At 39.3% G+C, this 23,496-nt stretch overlaps 1 protein-coding gene across 65 annotated transcripts in view, besides 1 other annotated feature; it reads right to left on the reverse strand.

Annotated features, from left to right (window-relative positions):
- The window catches only part of TBC1D5 (TBC1 domain family member 5), a 585,470-nt gene that overhangs the window by 425,272 nt on the left and 136,702 nt on the right, over positions 1–23,496 (reverse strand). For 20 of the 65 annotated variants that reach the window (XM_017007556.2, XM_047449303.1, XM_017007555.3 and 17 more), the window contains one exon: positions 3,920–4,124. The exons of 42 other annotated variants lie outside the window; for them this stretch is intronic. The gene's annotated coding sequence lies outside the window, so the exon portion shown is untranslated. The remainder of the gene's footprint in view (positions 1–3,919; positions 4,125–23,496) is intronic. 3 more of the 65 variants (XM_047449317.1, XM_047449287.1, XM_047449302.1) reach the window with 1 other exon arrangement.
- Positions 16,370–16,570: a silencer, noted in NCBI's record as "peak4555 fragment used in MPRA reporter construct". NCBI's record gives its function as "represses an SCP1 promoter by STARR-seq MPRAs in K562 erythroleukemia cells {active_cell/tissue: K562}" and the evidence as "EXISTENCE:reporter gene assay evidence [ECO:0000049][PMID:32103011]".

Genomic DNA, 23,496 nt, shown 5'->3' on the forward strand with positions numbered 1-23,496 from the left:
TTCTGAAGTTGTAGTTAAAGGAATCTATGGATGATGACAAAAACGGGATATAAAAAACAGTACAGCTAACTCAGTAGTATAGTGAAAAGAAATCTCCGAAAGACATGCCAGCAAAAGAACAGGGAAGCTCTGGCTTATATTTAAATAGGAGGTTGAGGTTGAGAAATGTCTTCAAAAAGAGTGTAAATAACTTTACCAAAATGTTATTTTATGATTTAGGAGCCCAAAAGTACAACTGTAGTATGCTATCAAAAAAAAAAAAAAAATACAGGCATAAATCCATTATGAGCATTAAACAAAAAGAATGGCAATTTAAACTCTGATTAAAAAAACTACACAGATACCAAAAAGCAAAAAAAAACAAAAACAAAAACAAAACAAAACATTAAACAAATGTGAAAGAAAATATTAGATTTTGAGCAAATGAAGAAAAGTAAGAAACCTTTTATTCTGGGAAAAATATGTTCACTGGTCAGGTAATTCTGGAGAGAAAACAGAACTGAATGATAGTCTGAAATGATATAATTACTATATAAAAAATATAACTGCTAAATAAGAAATAAAATACGGGCCAGGAATGGTGGCTTATGCCTATAATCCCAGCACTTTAAGAGACCAACGTAGGTGGATCACTTGAGCTCAAGAGTTCAAGACCAGCCTGGGCAACATGGCAAAACCCTGTCTCTACAAAAAATACAAAAATTAGCCAGGTATGGTGGCTCACGCTTGAGGTCCCAGCTATTTGAGACGCTGAGGTAAGAGGATTGCTCGTGCCTAGGAGGTAGAGGTTGCAGTGGGCTGAGATCATGCCACTGCACTCTGGCCTGGGAGACAGAGTGACACCCAATCTCAAAAAAATAAAAGAAATAAATTACTTAAATATGTAAGAAATATATAATCATTTTTCTACTTTGTTAAAAGTCATTTATCGGTATCATAAGATTTCCTGATAATCAAAAAAAAAAATGGAAAATAGTAAGTGTTAGCAAAATGTAGAGAAAGTGGAACCCGGCTGGGTGCGATGGCTCATGCCTGTAATCCTAACACTTTGGGAAGCCAAGGTGGGCAGACTGCCTGAGCTCAGGAGTTCAAAACCAGCCTTGGCAACATGGAAAAACCCCGTCTCTACTAAAAATACAAAGAATTAGCCGGGCATAGTGGCATGCATCTGTAGTCCCAGCTACTCAGGGGGCTGAGGCAAGAGAATCGCTTGAACCTGGGAGACGGAGGCTGCAGTGAGCCAAGATTGCGCCACTGCATTCCAGGCCACGCAACAGAGCAAGACTGTCTCAAAGAAAGTAGAACCCTCATACACTGCTGACAGGAATGTAAAATGATGCAACTGCCATGGAAAACAGTTTGATGGTTCCTCAAAAAGTTAAACATAGAATTACAATATCACCTACCAATTCCACTCCTAGGTACATACCCATATGAACAGAGAATAGGTACTCAAACAGGTTCATGTACACGCGTTTAGAGCAGCACTATTCAGAGTAACCAAAAAGTAGAAGCAAACAAAATGTGTATGAACGAATAAATGGATAAACACATGGACTAGCATTCAGCCAAGAAAAGTAATGAAGTAATAATAAGTGCTACAACTTGAATAAAAATTTGAAATATTATGTTAAACGAAAGAAGCCACCCACAAAACGTCACATATTTTATGATTACATTCATATTAAATATACAGAACACATTAAATCCATAGAGACAGAACGCAGATTGATCGATGTCAGAGCCTAGGGCTAAGGCAGAATTAAGACAAACTGCTAAATGGGTAAGGTACTTTACTTTGGCATGATGGAAATGTTCCAAACTCGACAGAGGTGGAAGGTTGCATAACACTGTCAGTGTACTCAACGCCACGGAACTGTTCACTTCAAAATGGTGAATTCTGTGTTACATAAATTTCACCTCAATAGATTATCTTAACATAAAAGATATTCTGCTTTCAGTTCACTCTTTCTATTTTCTTATTTCCAGAGTAAAGATTTCCAAAGATGTTCATAATGTTATTTAACTTCGGAAGGCTCTTAGAAACTCATATTTATGGTTTTAGGATGGGGGAACGTATATGAGGTTCAATAATTCTTTAAGCTTCATTTCAGGGTTTTTTTTTCCTCTGTGAAATTCAAGTAAAATTAAATGTAATAAACTTCATTTTTTAAATGGTGTATCAGTTCATCTCTGTATGACAGGATTCAAAATAATTTTTTTAATTTTTTAAGTTGACTTACGTATTTATTTATTTTGAGATGCAAGGCTGGAGTGCAGTGGCACGATCTCGGCTCACTGCAACCTCCACTTCCCGAGTTCAAGAGATTCTCCTGCCTCAGCCTCATGAGTAGCTGGGATTACAGGTGCCTGACATGACGCCCAGCTAGTTTTTTGTATTTTTAGTAGAGACAGGGTTTCGCCATGTTGGCCAGGCTGTTCTCGAACTCCTGACCTCGTATTTCACCCGCCTCAGACTCCCAAAGTGCTGGGATTACAGGCGTGAGCCACTGTGCCCAGCCAACATTTATTTTTTCGACAGAGATGGGGATTTGCTATGTTGCCTAGACTGGTCTCCAACTCTTGAGCTCAAGCAATCTGTTCACCTCAGCCTCCCAAAGTGCTGGGATTACAGGTGTGACCCACCATGCCCAACCAGGATTAGGGATAATTTTTATCCTCTTTATGTTTTTCTGTATTTACGAAACTTTCTAATAAAAAATATTATTTTTATACATCAGGAAAAAATGCCTTCAATTTATTAAAAAGATACAAATGTTAAATAAAATGGGAATGGGTACTAGAAGAGATCACTTTGGGCAAGGATCTGGGTTATTCTAACTTGATATTCAGGATGTAAAAAGTTAAACATGTTTCAAACCAAGAATGATTTGAGGGCATCAGGATGCACATACAATTTAGACAGACAAAACAAACAAGAAGAGAATAAAGAAATATACACCTTACTAAAAAGACATGATTATATCAAAAATTTATTCTCCTTTAAAATTCTGAGATCTCAGTACTTGTGCTTATGTTCTTACTACAAAAGAACCCAGGAAGGACTGTGGTGTTTCCCAGCAGTTACCCAGTTCTCTAAGTCATTTGACAGCTTATATTGAATGGGGAAAGAAATGAGAAGCACAGAAGAGACAAAAGAAAAGGCAGCTTCACTGAGGCAGAAAAGAAACTGTCTCATTTCTTTTACTCTCCCAACAAATCAGTGATGAACAAACATTCAAGTGATCTAAAGCTGGGTTTCTGAAACTGCATAAGTGACACATACCAGGAAGCATTAAATAAAATATACAAATAATATAATATAGCATACAGCACATCCCAGGCAGCTGGAGTAAGAATTAAATTTTTGTTTCGGTTTCATTTATACCTATAGGACTCGGCTCATAAATGTACATTTTATTCCTTATTATGGGTTGTAATAAGGAAAAAAATTGTGAATGTTATCTATCTGATATACCTCCAACTGTAAGTTCAATCATTCTAATTTCCTACTTCTTTAAGAAATGGTGGGGGAGTGGGGAGTGGAGAAAAGAAAATAAAAGGCCTATGGATACAAAAAGATTCCCTAAGGAAAATGCTAAAGTCTGCTGGTGGGAAACCATTTTTAAAAGACACCCTGAAGACTCAGCTAACTGTGAAGAAAAACAATGGACAAAGGGGAAAGAATGGAAACTGGTGACTAAAAGCAGGAGGTAGGACAGAAACAGATCAGGAAACTGAGTAACTGTGTTGGTTGGCCAACACTATTCCCTGAAGGAGTCTTCAATCTAAATTTGGCAGAAGTACACAAACACACATACCTTTTTTTTGTACAAAAATCTATGGAACACATTACTATGGTAAGGGTATTGAGAGTATTCTATCTTAAAATGTATATTTTGAATAAATATATGCTTACCTTGTGGGAGAACTTTACTGGTCCACAAATCCGGTTGACATGTGAAAATGCATGTTCTTGTTATAGATCAAAAATGACTTAGGCTCAGTACAATAGAGTTCTCCAAACACAAGTCTTGGTTTGCAAACAGAAATTGAAGAGGAATCAAGAAACAGAGACAAACTAAGTTCTCCCTTAACTGAGCTGCTGGAAAAACAGCATCTCCCTAGAAAAATAAATAAATAAAATAGCTGCAAATGCTCCTATCCCAGGAGAAACCCTAAATCATATCAAACAATACAAATCATATCATATCAAACAATACAAAAAGCAGGCTAAAAACAATTTCTATCAAAATATTTTAAGTTCTTAGAGGACAAACGTTAGCCTACTCATTAATCACTCTTTCCTTCACCTATTTTAACTCCTGGAAGAAAGGGAGGTATTTTGTAATACCAAAAATAAATGGCATTTTACATATATAATACAAAAACATCAGGCTTCACTATAAAACAATCACCTCTTACTTCATTTAACTTTGCACTGAAATGACATAAAAGTGTTGAAATGAGGAACATACTATTCTAACACATAGTAAAATAATATCACATTTTAAAATCACATAATATAAAAAATGGAAATTTGACATTTGAAAACAAATGTGAAAAAAATTCCATTGAAAATGGATTCTAAAGCATTAATAAAATGTAAAATTAGAATACAGATGCATCAGTGATGACAAGTGAATATTATATTTAGGTGTTAAAATTAATTTTCACAGCCTTTTTCTAAAGAAAAATTTTTTTTCATCTTTAGTAATACACCTCCATAAATAATCATACACACAGATATATTTACATAAAATCTGTAAGAATAACAACTAAATTTCTCAACTGGGCTATCTAATTTAAGTAAAGAACCTGTTAATAATAAAAAATTACTGAACATATTATCAACTTCCCCTAGATTTCATTCTCTATTAGTTCTTAAGCTTCAACAACCTGTTAAGAGCTTACTGGTGGCTTAGCACACATATAAAAAGATAGCAGCAGTTAGCTAATATAATGTAAAACATAATCAATAACATGAAACTGAAAAACATGACAACAGATTCCAACTGAAATTTACTGAGATTCAATATAAATTATTTCAAACACATTTTAGTATCACATGCTACTAAAATCGAGTAACAAAAGTCACTCTTCTGGAAACAGGATTTCCAGAAATGGTTTTTTGTCCTTTTAGATATACCCATTTTATTGAATACAATTCATGTTTTATTTGTATGTCGGTTTGGTGAAGAGAACTACGCATTACATTGTGATGCTGCATTTTCTTATTTTAACTTTCAATCTAATTTGAAAAGTAACAAACAATACTTTTCTGAATTATATTATACATATGGAAAATATCTAAATATCATCAGCTGCTCCTTGCAGAGTGCTATATTCACATTTTTTCGTGTATGGCTGAACTAAAAATTGCTATACCACTAAAACAAAGCATGACTATTTCTCATCTTTCTTTTGTAAAAATACAGACCATTTTTATTCTCTTTGGATGCCTGTTTAGAATAAAAGATATTCAAATAGCTTTCAACTATTCCAACATACGTGTATTTGATGAAATCTGTATTTAAGTACCAATATATATTATCATAGTACTATGTCACTACTATTCAGAGAATGATGGCTATTTCTTCAGAAAGTGTTAACGGTAACAAGAAAAAGTAACACTACAATCAGTGTACTGAGTAGTTGTAATGTGTTTTATTTCTAAATACATACTTTAGACCAATTTTTAATTTTAGGCCAATTTTCAATTTCTTACACTGCCAACATCCTTAATTAACCTTCTTGTTGTGACAGGATATAGCCAATAAAAGAACAAATTGACATACCATCAGAGAAACCAAGAAAGGAGAAAAAAAAAAAAAAAGAGAACACTATGGGCAGAATTAGGAAACACAAAAAAAATCTCTACAGTAAGACTATATGAAACAACTAAACTTTCTCAGAAATCCATATGCAGAAGGAATGTTTACCATAGTCTCACTGAAAGGATATACCAATTCTTTTTCTAGTTATTCTCTTAGGAATTACATAAATATTGAGAAATCTAGAAATAGATATACACATGCACATACAAAAATTATTGTCAGTGTATAAGTTACTGCTGCCCTGGGACTGCAATAATTTATGTAACATCTGTTTTCATATTTTCCTAATTTTTTTCCTAATTAACATGCATATTTAACGCACAAATGCTCAGACCACCTCTTTTTTCTGCTGACTGTGCCTCTTTTTTTGAAGTTGTGCACTCCTAGGGAGAATTTAGGATAGATGAAAACCAAAATCCCATTGAGAGCACTAATTTTAAAACATAAACAACAGCATGAAACCAATTTTCAATAAAATACTAAAGTCTTAGGAGTTTTCATAAATACACTTCAATCTGCCAACAATAGTCAGACTAGCAGTAAATAAAGGCCCAAATATAAAAAGTCAACATAAAAGCATAATCTCAATATTACTTAAACCTTCTTGATTTCTTTCTAACTTCCGTAAGAGCTAAGAAACCTACTAAAATATCCATGATTTCTTGTCTTAACAAGGTTGGTAAAATTTTAAAGGTTTTATGCCTTAGACAACTAAAATAAACAAACACATTCCACATAGTAAACATAAATTTGTATATAACCAGTGATAGCCTTTTGGATTATAAACTTCAAATACTGTGCAGATTCAACAAAAGGGGAAAGTTTTTATTGTGAAGTTCATTCAAGTACAATACAATGAAGTTCTGAGAAGATTTTAAGCTGTATTGGGTAATTCAAAATACTACTTATGCTTTTATTCTTTTTGTAAACATGGGGGTCTCACTTGGTTGCTCAAGCTGGTCTCAAGCTCTTGGCTTCAAGAGCTTATCAAACCAATGCTACAACAACTTAAGTATTCTCAAACAACAATGCTTAACATGCCAACACTGTGATCTCATATATACTAGCACACTTTATGGTATGGTTTGGCTGTGTCCCCACCCAAATCTCATCTTGAATTCCCATGTGCTGTGGGAGGGACCTAGTGTGAGGTAACTGAATCATGAGGGCAGGTCTTTCCCGTGCTGTTCTTGTGATAGTGATTAAGTCTCACAAGATCTGATGGTTTTAAAATGAGAATCTCCCTGCACAAGATCTTGACTCTTGTCTGCCGCCCTGTGAGACATGCTTTCACCTTCCACCATGATTGTGAGGCCTCCCCAGCCACATGGAACTGCAAGTACAATAAATCTCGCTTTTTGTAAATCGTCCAGTCTTGGGTATGTCTTTATCAGCAGTGTGAAAACAGACTAACACATTTTAGAATTAATCACTTCGTATTTTAATTGCCCCATCAGGCATTTCAGTCATTTAATATTTGTTGTCTACTGTCAGGTTTAGAATGTTGTCCATTCTAAACCTTTGTAAGCACTGAAATTGTCTCTGCCCTCATAGAACTTATATTTTACTTGGGGAGACAGCATCCAATAACCATGTGAATACCTACCTGCAAACCGATAAATGCTATTTTAAAATATGGGGAGAAGGAGCCATAAGATTTTATAAAAGGAGATGTGATATAGCCCAGAGATCAGTTTGAAATGGGATCTGAAAGGTATGGGAAGTATTCCAGTATGGGGCACAGCAAGTGCAAAGGTCCAAAAGCAGCTGTGAGATCAGCACCCACTCCCCCCTACAACATTCCTGTTTGTTTCTAGACCTATAACTAGACTAAAGTCCCAGCGGGCCCCAGAGGTGAGGTTGAGAGTGTGACCCATGAGGAAGTATGCTACACTCAAAAAGAACTGTTTGAGTTTTCCAGTTTATATAAACAGAAATCTGGAGAACAGGCATGGGAATGTACATTAAGGGTGTAGGATAATGGTGGAAGGAACACAGAGTTAGATCAGGCTGAATTTATTGATTTGGGCCCACTAAGTAGGGACTCTGCATTTAGTGTTGCAGCTAGAGGAGTTAAAACAGGTTCTAGTGGTTTATTTGCTTGGTTGGCTGAAATACGGATTAAAAGATGGCACACTATGAGCAAATTGGAAATACCTGATCTCCCTTGGTTTAATGTAGAGGAAGGAATCCAAAGGCTTAGGAAGATTGGGATGGTGGAATGGATTAGTCACTTTAGATCTACTCATCCCAACTGGGAGGGTCCAGAAGATACACCCTTGACCAATGCCTTGCAAACAGATTTGTGAGGGCAGCACCTGCATCTTTCAAGAGCCCTATAATTGCTCTTCTCTACAAGTCAGATCTAACAGTGGGAACCGCAGTCACTCAACTACAAATATTTAAATACGATGGGAACAGTTGGATCCCGAGGTGGCAGGGGCCAAGTGGCAACACAAAACTGTCAAAGGCAAGGTGGGCATAGCTACCATAATAGACAGCAGTGGCAAAGCAGCAATCAGAATAGTCTGATTCACGTAGAGCTTTGGCATTGACTAATTAATCATGGTGTTCCTAGAAGCGAAAGTGATAGGAAGCCTACTGCATTCCTACCTAATTTACACAAGCAGAAAACTTCTAGGTCAAATGGGCAAAAGACTAATTTGAATCATAAAAACAGAGAATCGGGCCAGGCACAGTGGCTCACACCTGTAATCCCATCACTTTGGAAGGCTGAGACAGGCAGATCACGAGGTCAGGAGACAGCCATCCTGGCTAACACGGTGAAACTCCGTCTCTACTAAAAATACAAAAAATTAGCCAGGTGTGGTGGCGGGCGCCTGTAGTCCCAGCTACTCAGGAGGCTGAGGCAGGAGAATGGCGTGAACCCAGGAGGCAGAGCTTGCAGTGAGCCGAGATTGCGCCACTGTACTCCAGACTGGGCTACAAAGAAAGGATCTGTCAAAAAAAAAAAAAAAAAAAAAAAAAAAAAAAAACAAAAACCCCAGAGAATCATGGCCCCTCAATTAATTTCCAGGCTTGAGATAGTTTACAGATCCAGAAACTCTTGAATGAAAGCAAGGCCAGGTCCCTTTGAGGAAGGACCCCACTATATTACCGACAATTTATGCAGTGAATCTTTCTCAAATCCTTCCCCAAGGAGACCTCCAGCCTTTTACCAGGGTAACTGTGCACTGGGGAAAGAGAAATGATCAGACATTTCGGGGGACTACTGGACACTGGCTCTGAGCTCACATTGATTCCAGGGACCCAAAACTTCATTGTGGTCCTCCAGTTAAAGTAGGGGCTTATGGAGGTCAAGTAATTATTGGAGTTTCAGCTCAAGTCCGACCTACAGTGGGTCCAGTGGGTCCCCTGACTCAGCCAATGGTCATTTCCCCAGTGCTGGAATGCATAATTGGCATAGGTAAACTTAGCAGCTGGCTGAACCCCCACATTGGCTGACTGGTATAGTGAGGGCTATTATGGTGGGAAAGGCCAAATGGAAGCCATTAGAGCTGCCTCTACCTAGAAAAATAGTAAACAAAAATAATATTGAATCCTTGGAGGGATTGCAGAGATTACTGCCATCATCAAGGACTTCAAAGACACAGGGGTGGTGATTCCCACTACATCCCCATTCAACTCTCCTATTTGGCCTATGCAGAAGACAAATAGATCTTGGAGAATGACAGTAGATTATCGTAAGCTTAACCAAGTAGTGGCTCCAAATGCAGCTGCTGTACCAGATGTGGTTTCATTGCTTGAGCAAATTAACACATCTCCTGGTACATGGTATGCAGCCATTGACCTGGCAAATGCCTTTTTCTCCATTCCTGTCCATAAGGCCCACCAGAAGCAATTTACCTTCAGCTGGCAAGGCCAGCAATATACCTTTATTGTCCTGATATACTCAGGGGTATATCAACTCTCCAGCTTTATGTCATAATCTTATTCGGAGAGATTTCGACAGCTTTTTGCTTCCGTAAGATATCATACTGGTCCATTACATTGATGACATTATGCTCACTGGATCCAGCGAGAAAGAAGTAGCAAACACACTGGACTTATTGGTGAGACATTTGCGTGTCAGAGGATGGGAAGTAAATGTGACTAAAATTCAGGGACTTTCTACTTCAGTAAAATTTCTAGGGGTCCAATGCTGTGGGGCCTGTGGAGATCCAAAGGCTTATCTTCTAAGGTGAAGGATAAGTTGCGGCATTTGGCACCTCCTACAAACAAGAAAGAGGCACAACACCTAGTGGATCTATTTGGATTTTGGAGGCAATACATTCCTCATCTGGGTTTGTTACTCCAGCTCATTTGTCAAGTGACCTGAAAGGCTGCCAGTTTTGAATGGGGTCCAGAACAGGAGAAGGCTCTGCAACAAGTCCGAGCTATTGTGCAAGCTGCTCTGCCACTTGGGCCATATGACCCAGCAGATCCAGTGGTCCTTGAGGTGTCAGTGGCAGATAGAGATGCTATTTGGAGCCTTTAGCAGGCTCCCACAGGTGAATCACAGTGGAGCCCTCTAGGATTTTGGAGCAAGGCCCTGCCATCTTCTGTAGATAACTACTCTCCTTTTGAGAGACAGCTTTTGGCCTGTTACTAGGCTTTTGTGGAAACTGAATGTTTGACTATGGGTCATCAAGTCACCATGCTACCTGAACTGCCTATTGTGAACTGGGTGCTTTCTGACTCATCTAGCCATAAAGTGGGTCGTGCACAGAAGCATTATATCATCAAATCCAAGTGGTATACACATGATCGGACTCAAGCAGGTCCTGAAGGCACAAGTAAGTTACATGAGGAAGTAGCTCAAATGCCCATGTTCTCCGATCCTGCCACCCTGCCTTCTCTCCCTCAGTTTGCACCGATGACCTCATGGGGAGTTCCCTATGATCAGTTGACAGAGGAATAGAAGATTAGGTGACCTCAGCAGAGGAGGATTTTAATAATCAAGTGGCTAAGATGACCCTTTCTGTGGACAACACTCAGCCTCTTTCCCCAGCTGCCCCTGTCATCACCCAATGGGCCCATGAACAAAGTGGTCATGGTGGCAGGGATGGAGGTTACACACGGGCTCAATAACATGGACTTCCACTCACCAAGGCTGACCTGGCTACGGCCACTGCTGAGTGCCCAATTTGCCAGCAGCAGAGACCAACACTGAGCCCTCGATATGGCACCATTTCTCAGGGTGATCAGCCAGCTACCTGGTGACAGGTTGATTATACTGGACCTGTTCCACGATGGAAAGGGCAGAGGTTTGTCCTCACTGGAACAGACACTTACTCCGCTTATGGGTTTGCCTATCCTGCACGCAATGCTTCTGCCAAGACTAGCACCCATGTACTCATGGAATGCCTTATCCACTGTCATGGTATTCCACACAGCACCCTCTGACCAAGGCACTCATTTTACAGCTAAAGAAGTGCAGCGGTGGGCTTATGCTCATGGAATTCACTGGTCTTCCTATGTTCCCCATCATCCTAAAGCAGCTAGATTGATAGAACAGTGGAATGGCCTTTTGAAGTCACAATTACAACGCCAACTAGGTGACAATACTTTGCAAGGCTTGGGCAAAGTTCTCCAGAAGGCTGTGTATGCTCTGAATCGGCGTCTAATATATGGTACTGTTTCTCCCATAGCCATGATTCACGGCTCTAGGAATCAAAGGGTGGAAGTGGAAGTGGCACCACTCACCAATCACCCCTAGTGATCCACTAGCAAAATTTTTGCTTCCTGTTCTCATGACATTAAGTTCTGCTGGCCTAGAAATCATAGTTCCAGAGGTAGGAACGATGGCACCAGGAGACACAACAATGATTCCATTAAATTGGAAGTTAAGATTGCCACCTGGACACTTTGGGCACCTCCTACCTTTAAGCCAACAGGCTAAGAAAGGAGTTATAGTGTTGGCTGGGGTGAATGACCTGGACTATCAAGATGAAATCAGTGTACTACTCCACAACAGAGGAAAGGAAGAGTGTGCATGGAATACAGGAAATCCATTAGGGCGTCTCTTAGTATTACCATGCCTTGTGATTAAGGTCAATGGGAAACAGCTCAATCCAGGCAGGACTACAAACGGTCCAGAACCCTTAGGAATGAAGGTCTGGGTCACTCCACCAGGAAAAAAACCACAACCTGTTGAGGTGCTTGCTGAAGGCAAAGGGAATACAGAATAGGTAGTAGTAAAAGGTAGTCATCAATACCAGCTACAGAATCAATACCAGCTACAGTGACCAGCTGTAGAAACATGGACTGTAATTGTCATGAATATTTCCTCCTTCTGTTAGAAACATGTTTGTGCATGTATACACTTGTACTAAGAAAATACCTTCATTTCCTTTCTCCTTTATCACATGACATAGATTTACCGACTTCATATCAGCATTTAAGTAATGTTAACTATATGTAATAGTATTTGGGTTGGGGATTGGTGCATTTCCAGTTGTACAAAGGATAGTTGTATTATGTTAGGTGTAATTATGACCTTATTATCATCTTTATTTAAGGATTATGTATGATCTCAGGAGATGCGAATGGGTTCCAATTGACAAGGGGTGGACGTGTGATGGTTAATACGGAGTGTCAACTTGATTAAAATGAAGGATACAAAGTATTGATCCTGGGTGTGTCTGCAAGGGTGCTGCCAAAGGAGATTACCATTTGAGGCAGTGGGCTGGGAAAGGCAGACCCACCCTTAATCTGGGTGGGCACAATCTAATCAGCTGCCAGCACAGCTAGAATATAAGCAGGCAGAAAAGTGTAAAAAGAGAGACTGGCCTAGCCTCCCAGCCTACATCTTTCTCTCGTGCTAGATGCTTCTTGCCCTTGAACATCGGACTCCAAGTTCTTGGTTTTAGAACTCAAACTAGCTCTTCTTGCTCCTCAGCCTGCAAGCAGCCTATTGTGGGACCTTGTGATCATTTCAGTTAACACTTAAAAACCTCCCCTTTATATATATATTTATTCCATTAGTTCTGTCCCTCTAGAGAACCCGAATACACTGGGTTAGAAATAAATTTAGAATTTGCCAGGATATGGGTAGTTTAATAAAAATGGAGGCCCACATTCTCTTCCCAAAGGAAAATCTCTTCACACATCCAATAACTTCCTAGTTTCTAGCTATCATACCACAACAAAAAAGCATATGATATTTTATAGTCTGGGAAACTCATTTAGCCTAAAATTGGTTAACTCCATGGGGCATATTTGCATTCTATGTCTTATCTTAAATGCTGAATAAGAGTTACCATTTATTGAAATGCCTACTCTGGGATAGAGCTATACTAAGCATTCTAAAAATATGCTTTAGGTCATCAATCTTCACAGTAATCTTAAAATGTAAGAATTATCAAGCCCATTTTTCAGATGAGGACACTGAAGTTATGGAAGTGTAAAGTCATTAGAAAAGCAAGTGATAAAAGTCATACTTCCAATTTAAGGCTCCCTGAACCCACACCCCAAGCCCTTTCCACTAAAAAGTAGGACGGCATGTGTAGTGTCAAGAGTCTGAGCTTTAAAATAAATCAATCTTAGTTACAATCCTGGCCAGTACTTCCTACTGGCAGTATTTCCTCACCAGTAATACCTACCTTGCTAGAAGTGTTAACATTTTTGAAAATGTTAAGTGAAGATTCTGACACGATACATAGGGTTGTGCATCACTATTAATGTCACATGTTCCTCTACCATAGGAGTGCCAGCTGAGGAAAGACTTAGAGCAGAAGGCTATTCACAGATCTCATTGTTCTAAGGCTGACCTGTAAGCTTTGAAAATTTCATGGTATAGAGAATGGCAGGTCATTAGGAACAGCTTACTTCCATCCTTTCCCCATGTGGAAAAAAAGGGGTTCCATCAGAAAAGTCAGAGGCCAATAGCCTAAAAACCATCAGTAGGGAATTCAGCAGTGGTCCTAAAACTTTAGTGTGCATATTAACAATCACTTGAGAAGCTTATTAAAATGGAGATTCACAATCAGATTCTCCCAAATATTCTGATGCGTTAGTGGAAGATAATATTTTTCCAGCTTTCCTTTTTTTTTTTTTTTTTTTTCCGGAGACACAGTCTCGCAGTCGCCCAGGCTGGAGTGCAGTCGCGCAATTTGGGCTCACTGCAACCTCTGCCTCCCGGGTTCAAGCAATTCTCCTGCCTCAGTCTCCCAAGTAGCTGGGATTACAGATGCCCACCACCACACCCAGGTAATTTTTTGTATTTTTAGTAGAGACAGGGTTTCACCATGTTGGCTAGGCTGGTCTTGAACTCCTGACCTCGTGATCCGCCCACCTTGGCCTCCCAAAGTGTTGGGATTACAAGCATGAGCCACCACACCAGGTGGATAATGGCTTGAACCCAGGAGGCGGAGGTTGCAGTGAGCAGATTTGCCCTCCAGACCAGGCAACAATGAGAGACTCCATCTCAAAAAAAAAAAAAAAAAAAAAGAATAAAAGCTTACATATAGCCCTGCTTGGTGACACCAATGGGCACTAACATACACTGGTACCAAAGCAGTATTCAGGACAGAAAATGTCTACCATACTCCCCAACACTGCCAATCACTCAAAATATTAAAAGGATGTCCACTTTCCCTTCTGCATGAACTACAACTGTCACTATGGAACACTGATGACCCGACAGCTCCCATTAACCTGATCTATTGGCACACTAAGTCAGGTCTGGCAATAATGTTCTGGTGACTTACAGATTCTAATAAATTATAAAACTCTAAACTTTCACCCAAGGTTAACAGAACTTATTTTTTAATTTTGAAATTTTAAGATGATATGATTCTTTCAAGGCTTATCTGTGAAGTTATATGTAGGCAGCTGTAGTTTTTAAATTATTGCGTAGTATTTCCTTGTATTCTTCTAAAAACAAAGATACCCACTCAAGTTTATTTGTTTGCTTTTACCCTATGACTTACATCATGACCGTGCTAGGGAATAAAAGGCCAAAGATAGTAAAAGTTCCTTGAAAATGGACTTTAGTAAAAAGAACATCTATTGAGTGCTTACTATGATATTGATATTTATATGGAGTATCTCATTTAATGCCTACCCTTCCTCCCTGTCTCCTCCCCCAGAAAAACAGATAAGAGAAACTCAGAAACACTAACTTGCCCAAGATCTTATAACTAACAAATGGTAAAGCTGGGATTTGAACCCAAGCAATCTGACCCCAGTATCCATTTAGTCTTAACCATTACACCATGCTATACTGATTTAAAAGGAATTGTAACTATGGGAAACTTGGTTTACATTATCATTACCCACTCTGTTCATGAAATTTCTTCAACTTTATAAACTTTTATACAGCCAAATATCCCCAAAGTAATGACATAAGTCTGTCCCTCTGGTTTTTATGTTAAATGAAATGCTTCCAAGGTGTTCTAATAATTAAAACATAACTTCCAAAATGACTCTTAATCTCATATTAGTATATAACATATTTTTGTCCCAAATACTCACAGTCATTTTCCACTAACCATAGTTGGTACTAAATTAGATCCCACACTACCCTAAGCTCCATGCAGAACAAAAACTAATGCATGTATAATGTAAAACGAGAATTTTTTTGAAATTCAAACATTGTATCTTCCCGTATTACTCCTGATGCCAACTAGGTAACCTCTCTTCTATATATCCTGGTTCCATATAGGCTCAAGCTCTGGATACCAAGTTCAATTTAGCTTAAAATAAGAAATAAGGTAGCCATTCCCTGCCCCCCCGCCCCCCAACCCCAGCCCATCACTCTATCTAAATGGGCCAAAAGAGGCTGGGTCAATTCTTAGAATTGCTTTGGGCACTTGAGGTTTATTCCTATCTTAAAGACCAGTCAAATTGTCTGAGAAGTGAGAAAATTTCAGGAACTACGGTTTCCCTAAAGAAGCTGCAGATTCAACTTGACTCCAAGAGATGAAAAATTCCCTTAAGCTTACATTAGTCTTTGTTCATTTCCTGTGGTAGGCATAAGGCATGGGAGTTTTCAAAACTGACTTCTTCACAACACAATAAAAAGACAAGTATATTTTATATTAAAGGATTCTCTTCTTGTAAGTATGTCCTTGGAACTAAGATAAAAACAAGATTTTTGAAGAAATTATTTTGGATTAAATGGGCTGGAAACTTTAAGCACTGTTCATAACTTTGTTTTATATTCTAAATTCTCAGTTCCAGACTTCTTATTCTGCATCTCATTAACTACTCCTTATATTATAACATTTGTTTCAGAGTTCTTTTTTTTAAATCTATTCCCTTTTTATAATATCACCTGTCTGTCACCTTTTATCCAATACACACTGTAATCCATTTTCTTCAAACTGCAAAAAGAAAAACTCAAACCAAACCAAAACTGTTTGTGCTGCAAGAAAACCAATGAAAAGTAGTCACTGTCCCAAATCATTCTGGAATTCTGAGGATGCTTTACTTCTTAGAAAATAAGAGGGCAACACTATTTAAAACCAGAGACAAAACAGGTAAGTTAGCTCTTCAAATGACTCAGTAATTTAGATATATCTTTTCTGCTTTTGGCTTATCACTTTCCATCACTTACTTTACTACCACACTTCCTTTATTGAGCTCACTGCCTATTAGCTCCCTCACACAAAAAATAAAGGAAATCTAAACTGGATTTCAAAATGGTTGGATAATTATCAGGAACTTAGTGAGAAACATAGCTTTAAGGGTCAGGTACAGTACCAATAACCAAACTAGAATTGTGGCTATGGAGGACTGAGAAACAAAAGAACAGAGAAATGGTAGTACATAGAGAAATAACAAAAGTAAGTTTAGTAAATTTCCAAGGTTTCTAATCTAGGCATTAGGAAGGTTATTTGTGCCATGAAAGTGATACAGACAGGAGGCAGGGAAGTACTAGGTAAAAGGGGGATGTTCCCCCACAAAGGCCCCACCCTCAAGCCTGGAAACCACAGCCCCAAATGAAAAGTTATCCCTGTTTCCCCGCCCAAATGTTGCTTTTTCCAAAACCACCCTGGCCCACCACACACCCATCATGTACCCATAAAACCCCCCAAACTCCACTGACACAAGAGCAGAGAGGCGCAGCAGAGGAGGAGAGAAGAGAATAAGCACCTGAAGGTCGAGAGGAGTTCGGTTGGGGATGATCAGAGTTTGGCTGGGGGCGGTTGAACTCCACGGGAAGATTATCTTCCCAACCCATCCCCTTTCCAGCTCCCCATTCCACTGAGAGCCACCTCCATCACTCAATAAAATCTCCGCATCCTTCAAGTCCATATGACTTGATTCTTCCTGGATGCCGAACAAGAACCCGGGTACAAAGAAGGCAGTGTATAAAATGCTGCCACCCTGACTTTCCATTGAGCTGGTTAACACTTAGCCATCTACGGATGGCAACTGCAAAGACAGTATTAATTGTAACACACCCCTAGACCTGTCATGGGTCAAGAGGAGCCCAAAAGTGCTCACTCCAGCTCTGGCTCTCGATCACCTGCATGCTCCCCCTCCTGCAAGGGGTCTGAGCAAGGTGGCGGCCAAGTAAGCAAGCCACACCCCTGTCTAAAGTCCTGCCTAGGGGTCAAGGGAACTTTCCCATCTCAAAAGGTATAAAAGGGAAATGAGGGGGATGGGGAAAAGGTTGATCAGGGAAAAAAAGCAGGATACTATATGTCCCCAAAACCTACCTCAGTATCTTGCACCCCAATTAAGGTATGTTAAAGATAAAGGAATGAGTGAATGATATCAATTCTAATTTTGCTAACTTTTATAACGGTAAATAATTTGAATTCTCTGACTAAACTGAAGCTGAGAAAATAGATCTTACCACTAATTCCACAGGTATTTTGAGATTTTGAGAAAGTCCCCTTGGTTCTAAACAGCATTTCAAACCTAGACATATCTCCAAATGAATACGCTCTCTTAGAAGTTGTCAAGTTGTGATCTCTATGATTCATATAATATGTTATGTTATGTTATGTTATGTTATGTTAATAACGGAGGTGATAGGTGTATATAAACCAACTGAATTGTCAGGTTTGCATTTTGATTACTTGTTTAGTAGGTTTCTAACAAACTAGTAAAATATATACATGAAGGTCACATGTATTTATTAATGCTAGTGTTTCAGTCTGTCTGCTAGCTCAATAAATCAGCAGTGAATTAATTCATATTGCTAATGTCATTTTTTGCTACTAAGGATAATTTTTAAAGGTATTCTTCAAAAACACCTTTAAAATATTTAAAGATTCCATGCAAGATTATTACTATGGTCTCATCGCAGTAAAATGTTTAAAAATAATAATATTCAAAATTCCATAAGAAAAATGTTCGATGAGGTTAAACTATTATAAAGCAGTAAAATGAAATGAGAGGGAAATTATAAAAATGATGTCATATGACAAGACTTTTGGTTTTCTAACCAAAAGGGGTCATAACTTTTTTTCTTTAAGTTTAATATTTTCTATTTTGGATTCTGGAAATTCAGTAAAAGCTCTAAGTCAGTTGGTTATTACTCTCCAAGAGCAGAAGCCAAAATAAGGCACCTAGCCCTTAGGACATTTGAAAGACCGGGCGGGGGAAAAAAACTGCCCAAAGTCAATCTTTTTTTAAAATAATCCTTGAAATATTTCGTGTTTGTCTTTACATTTTATTCTCTTATCCAAGTTAACAGAATAAGGAAGTGATAGTAAATTCATGGTTAACTACCATGCTTCTACAAGGATGAATTTCAAGAAGACTGATAATCCTACTTAGAATAATAGCCTTCCCAGTCCTCCCTACAGGACCACCCATAAGTGAATAAATTCTGGGCCATCTCCTAAACACATGCTGGAAGGAAAAATGCCTTGAAGATTGGTCACCTATTCTAAAACTGTTGCTGCTTTTAAACATGGTAGCCTATATAGTCATTGAAATAACAACTACCTTTCACTGAAACATTCAGAAATGCCCTCATCTAAAGACTACCAATATGGGCCGGGTGCAGTGGCTCATGCCTGTAATCCCAGCACTTTGGGAGGCCCAGGCGGGTGGATCACCTGAGGTCGGGAGTTCATGACCAGCCTGACCAACATGGGGAAACCCCGTCTCTACTAAAAAATACAAAATTAGCCGGGCGTGGTGGCACATGCCTGTAATCCCAGCTACTCCAGAGGCTGAGGCAGGAGAATCGCTTGAATCCGGGAGGCGGAGGTTGTGGTGAGCCGAGATTGCGCCATTGCACTCCAGCCTGGGCAACAAGAGCGAAACTCCGTCTCAAAATCAAACAAACAGAAGACTACCAATATTTAAAATGAACTTTTAAACTTATAACTGCCCTTGTGAGCAATGCCTAATGAGATTAATTCCTTAGCCCATGATACCTGGGGTTGGGATGAGTGAGGGTGGAGGAAGATATCCTAGACTCCACTTTTTGTTTTTAGAAACTTGTCATTTCATTTAATTCCCATACAACTCTCTGTAGGGGAAAACCCCACGTTATTATTAACATTATTCCCACTTATACAGATGAAGAAATGTAGGCATTGTTAAGTAAACTAACTTATTTAATATCACACAGTTAATAAGTGGGTTTTTTTTATTTTTTATTTTTTGAGACCGAGTCTCGCTCTGTTGCCCAGGCTGGAGTGCAGTGGCGCGATCTCGGCTCACTGCAAGCTCCGTCTCCCAGGTTCACGCCATTCTCCTGTCTCAGCCTCCTGAGTAGCTGGGACTATAGGCGCCTGCCACCACGCCTGGCTAATTTTTTTTGTATTTTTAGTAGAGATGGGGTTTCACCGTGTTAACCAGGATGGTCTCAATCCCCTGACCTCGTGATCCGCCCACCTCGGCCTCCCAAAGTACTGGTATTACAGGCGTAAGCCATTGCGCCCGGCCAATAAGTGGTATTAACTCAGGTTTGTGATATTCCACAACCCATAACCTTTATACAACACGACAATGCCTTTAAGTATACCTATCAGTAATGTGTATCAAAACCCATGTGGTGAATTAAAGTGACTCCCTTATCTGTCTCAATGGAATACCTTGGAAACCTGAAGTTCGTGTCTTCTATACCCATGCGCTCATAACATTGAAATGTGTGATTCATGGAGCTCAGACATTGATTTCCTCTGACTTATCTTCACTCCGAAATACACGATCCCTGGTGCTCAGTACTAAAAGAAAGCTCTCTCTGAAAATGTAGATAGCTAAGCTCTGTGCTTCAGTCAATGTGATGAGCATTAAGATTAAACATTCTAAATGACAACTCCTAGACTTTTTTCAAAATGTTACTCTTGATTATGCCATAATACGAGAGAATCAGATTTTTTTTTTTTTTTTTTTTTTTTTTTTTGAGACGGAGTCTCTTTCTGTTGCCCAGGCTGGAGTGCAGTGGCGCAATCTCGGCTCACTGCAAGCTCCACCTCCTGGGTTCGTGCCATTCTCCTGTCTCAGCCTCCCAAGTAGCCGAGACTACAGGCGCCCGCCACCACACCCAGCTAATTTTTTTGTATTTTTAGTAGGGACAGGGTTTCACCTTGTTAGCCACAGGATGGTCTCGATCTCCTGACCTCGTGATCCACCCACCTTGGCCTCCCAAAGTGCTGGGATTACAGGCATGAGCCACCGTGCCCGGCCGACAATCAGATTTTTTAATGGCATTCCTCACTTAAATCCTTAAAGCCAGTGTGCAGGTTGGCCAGACGGAACCAAAATACATCCTGAGCCTCACTAGTATAAATGTGGAATGAACACAGACAAATGCCTAAGTAAGTCTTCAAGTACCAAATTAGCATACTAACATTAAATAATAGCAAACTTCCCTAGAAAATTCAGATCTGTGGACTATCTCCATCCTCTCTCCAAAGAAAATAGGTGTAAACAGGAAGAGTTCCAAAAAGATTCTTTAAGTTTTTTGGTTTTTTTTTTTTTTTTTTGAGACAGGGTCTTGCTCTGTCACCCAGGCTGGAGTGTGGTGATATGATTACAGCTCACTGCAGCCTCAACCTCCTTGGCTCAACTGATTCTCTCATGATGAGACAGGAGTTTGGCAGGACTGGTTTTACAAGGTACAAATCACAAAGACCCCACTGGTAAAATGAGATGCGTAAAGCAGCCAGAAGAACGCACAAAAACCAAGATGGCAACGAAAGCAACCTCTGGTCATCCTTAAGGTTCTTATACATTAGCATGGTAAAAGACACTCTCACCAGTGCCATGACAGTTTACAAATGACATGGTAACATCTGGAATCTACCCTATATGATTAAAAGGGGGAGGAACTCTCAGTTCCGGAATTCCCCACCCCTTTCCCGGAAAACTCATGAATAGCCCACTGCTTGTTTAGCATATGATCGAGAAACAACCATAAAAATAGCCAACCAGCAGCCCCCAGAATCAAAGTCATTCTTTTATTCTGGCTTTTATTCTGCCGGCGGCGGGGTGGAGGGACCAAGTCTTGCTTTGTTGCCCAGGCTGGAGTGCAGTGGCGCAATCTCGGGTCACTACAACCTCTGGCTCTCTGCCTCAACCTCCCGAGTAGCTGGGATTACAGGCACGCACCACGCCTAGCTAATTTTTGTATTTTTAGTAGAGATGGGGTTTTACCATGTTGGCCAGGCTGGTCTCAAACTCCTGACCTTAAGCAATCCACCCGCCTCACCCTCTCAAAGTGCTGGGATTACAGGCGTGAGCCACCACGCCCGGCGCTATTCCTTTACTTTTCTTAATATACTTGCTTCTACTTTACTGTCAGCTTATTCTTGAATTCCTTCCTTCATGAAGCCAAGAACCCAAATGGCCTCCTGGACTGAACCCTAATTTTGGGGTTCAACCTGTGAAAACCTCAGCCTCCCAAGTAGCACCACCATACCTAGCTAATTTCTTTGTTTTGTTTTGTTTTTTGTAGAGACAGGGTTTCACCATGTTGCCCAGGCTAGTCTCAAACTCCTTGGTTCAAGTGATCTACCTGCCTCGGCCTCCCAAAGTTCTGGGATTACATGCAGGAGCCACTGTGCCTTTAAGTACTTCTTAAAGGCAATCCCAGAATTTCCTTATGAAGAACTCATCACTCTTAACAGAAGACTAGACATCCTTCACATTGAAAATAGAGCAGTAACATTCAGTTTAAACCAGTCCTTCTAGCTCTTATAACAAAAGAAAAATGTTATCAGAAAACAGAGCTCAGAGGGTAACAAGACTCTACCACATATATTACATATAAATTGAAAGAGATTGGTAAATCATTTTAATTCTCAAATATGAGACCTTTTTGAAAGCCTAACTTCCAAAATTATTGCGCATATTTTCTTTTGACTATGATTATACTCTATTTTGACCCTCAGTAGCTTAGTCTATTTTCAGCTGTACGTAATTAAGATTTGGTGCCTAGAAACAATGTAACTACATATAACTTTACTCACCATCAATTTGCTAAGAACCATGATTTTTTGGTTTGGTTTTGAGACAGAGTCTGGCTGTGTTGCCCAGTGCTCACTGCAACCTCAGTGCTCACTGCAACCTCCACTTCCAGGGTTCAAGCAATTCTCATGCCTCAGCCTCCTGAGTTCCTGGGACTACAGGTGCATACCACCACACCCAGGTAATTTTTGGTATTTTTAGTAGAGACAGGGTTTCACCATGTTGGCCAGGCTGGACTCCAACTCCGGGCCTCAAGCGATCCACCTGCCTCAGCCTCCCAAAGTGCTGGGATTGCACGTGTGAACCACCGCACCCAGCCAGATCCATGATATTTTGAATTCAACTTAGTCTCAGGCTTCCATATCCCCAAAATATCCATCTTTACATTGGTACAGTTCTCTTCTGGGATAATGTTCTTCAACAAAAAACAACTCTCTTTGGAGCAAAACCTCCTCTTCACAAAGCAGCTAGGCTGCATTTCCTAACAGACAAGCCTTCTCCAACTCATACAATCACCAATCTCAGGTTGTCTTTGCATGAATGAGTGACTCATCAACATGGTTTTTTTTTAAAGGAGTCAAGCTCCTAAGCCACAATAAGTATTAGTCACATAGTATTAACTACTTTTACTAAACCACACAATTAAAACAAACACAAGCAAATTTATAATACCCTAGAGACCATATACATCAGAAAACCCTACAATTTTTCAGGACCTCAAATCTTAGCTGAACTCAGTCATAAGTAATGTGTTGAATTACATGTAATAAAAATGTCTAGTTCAACCTGGCATTTTTAGCAACTAGAATGCTGCTCAGCAGCACCTGTGATTTTCAGAACTTAAAGTGCAAATTTAATCATCCCACAAACGTTAAATTGTGTTTGAAAGAGTTTGGGCAGTAGGAACAAATATTTAAAAAGAGGAAAAGGATAGTCTTTTTTAGTAACCAGAAAATTTGATCATGCAGGAAAACAAAGTTCACCTAAGCTTCATTTTATCTACTTCTATGATTAAAGATCAGGAAAGTATGCTTCATTTTTAGGAAGCATACCAGTAAATATTAACACATATATATTAACATGCTCAATTGTGACCGACAAATATTATGAGACTTCTAAGTTTAAGGGGGAAATAAAGACTTTGTTAATATCCAATAATGCAATACAGAAATTATATTTATGTTATGTGTAATAAATGTTTTCATAATATTGAATAGACTTTTTCATACAAAGATGAAGACCCATTCACCAAATTACTGACTTCTGTATTATA

This window comes from Homo sapiens, chromosome 3 (genome assembly GCF_000001405.40).
Source record: "Homo sapiens chromosome 3, GRCh38.p14 Primary Assembly".
Classification (NCBI taxonomy): Eukaryota; Metazoa; Chordata; class Mammalia; order Primates; family Hominidae; genus Homo; species Homo sapiens.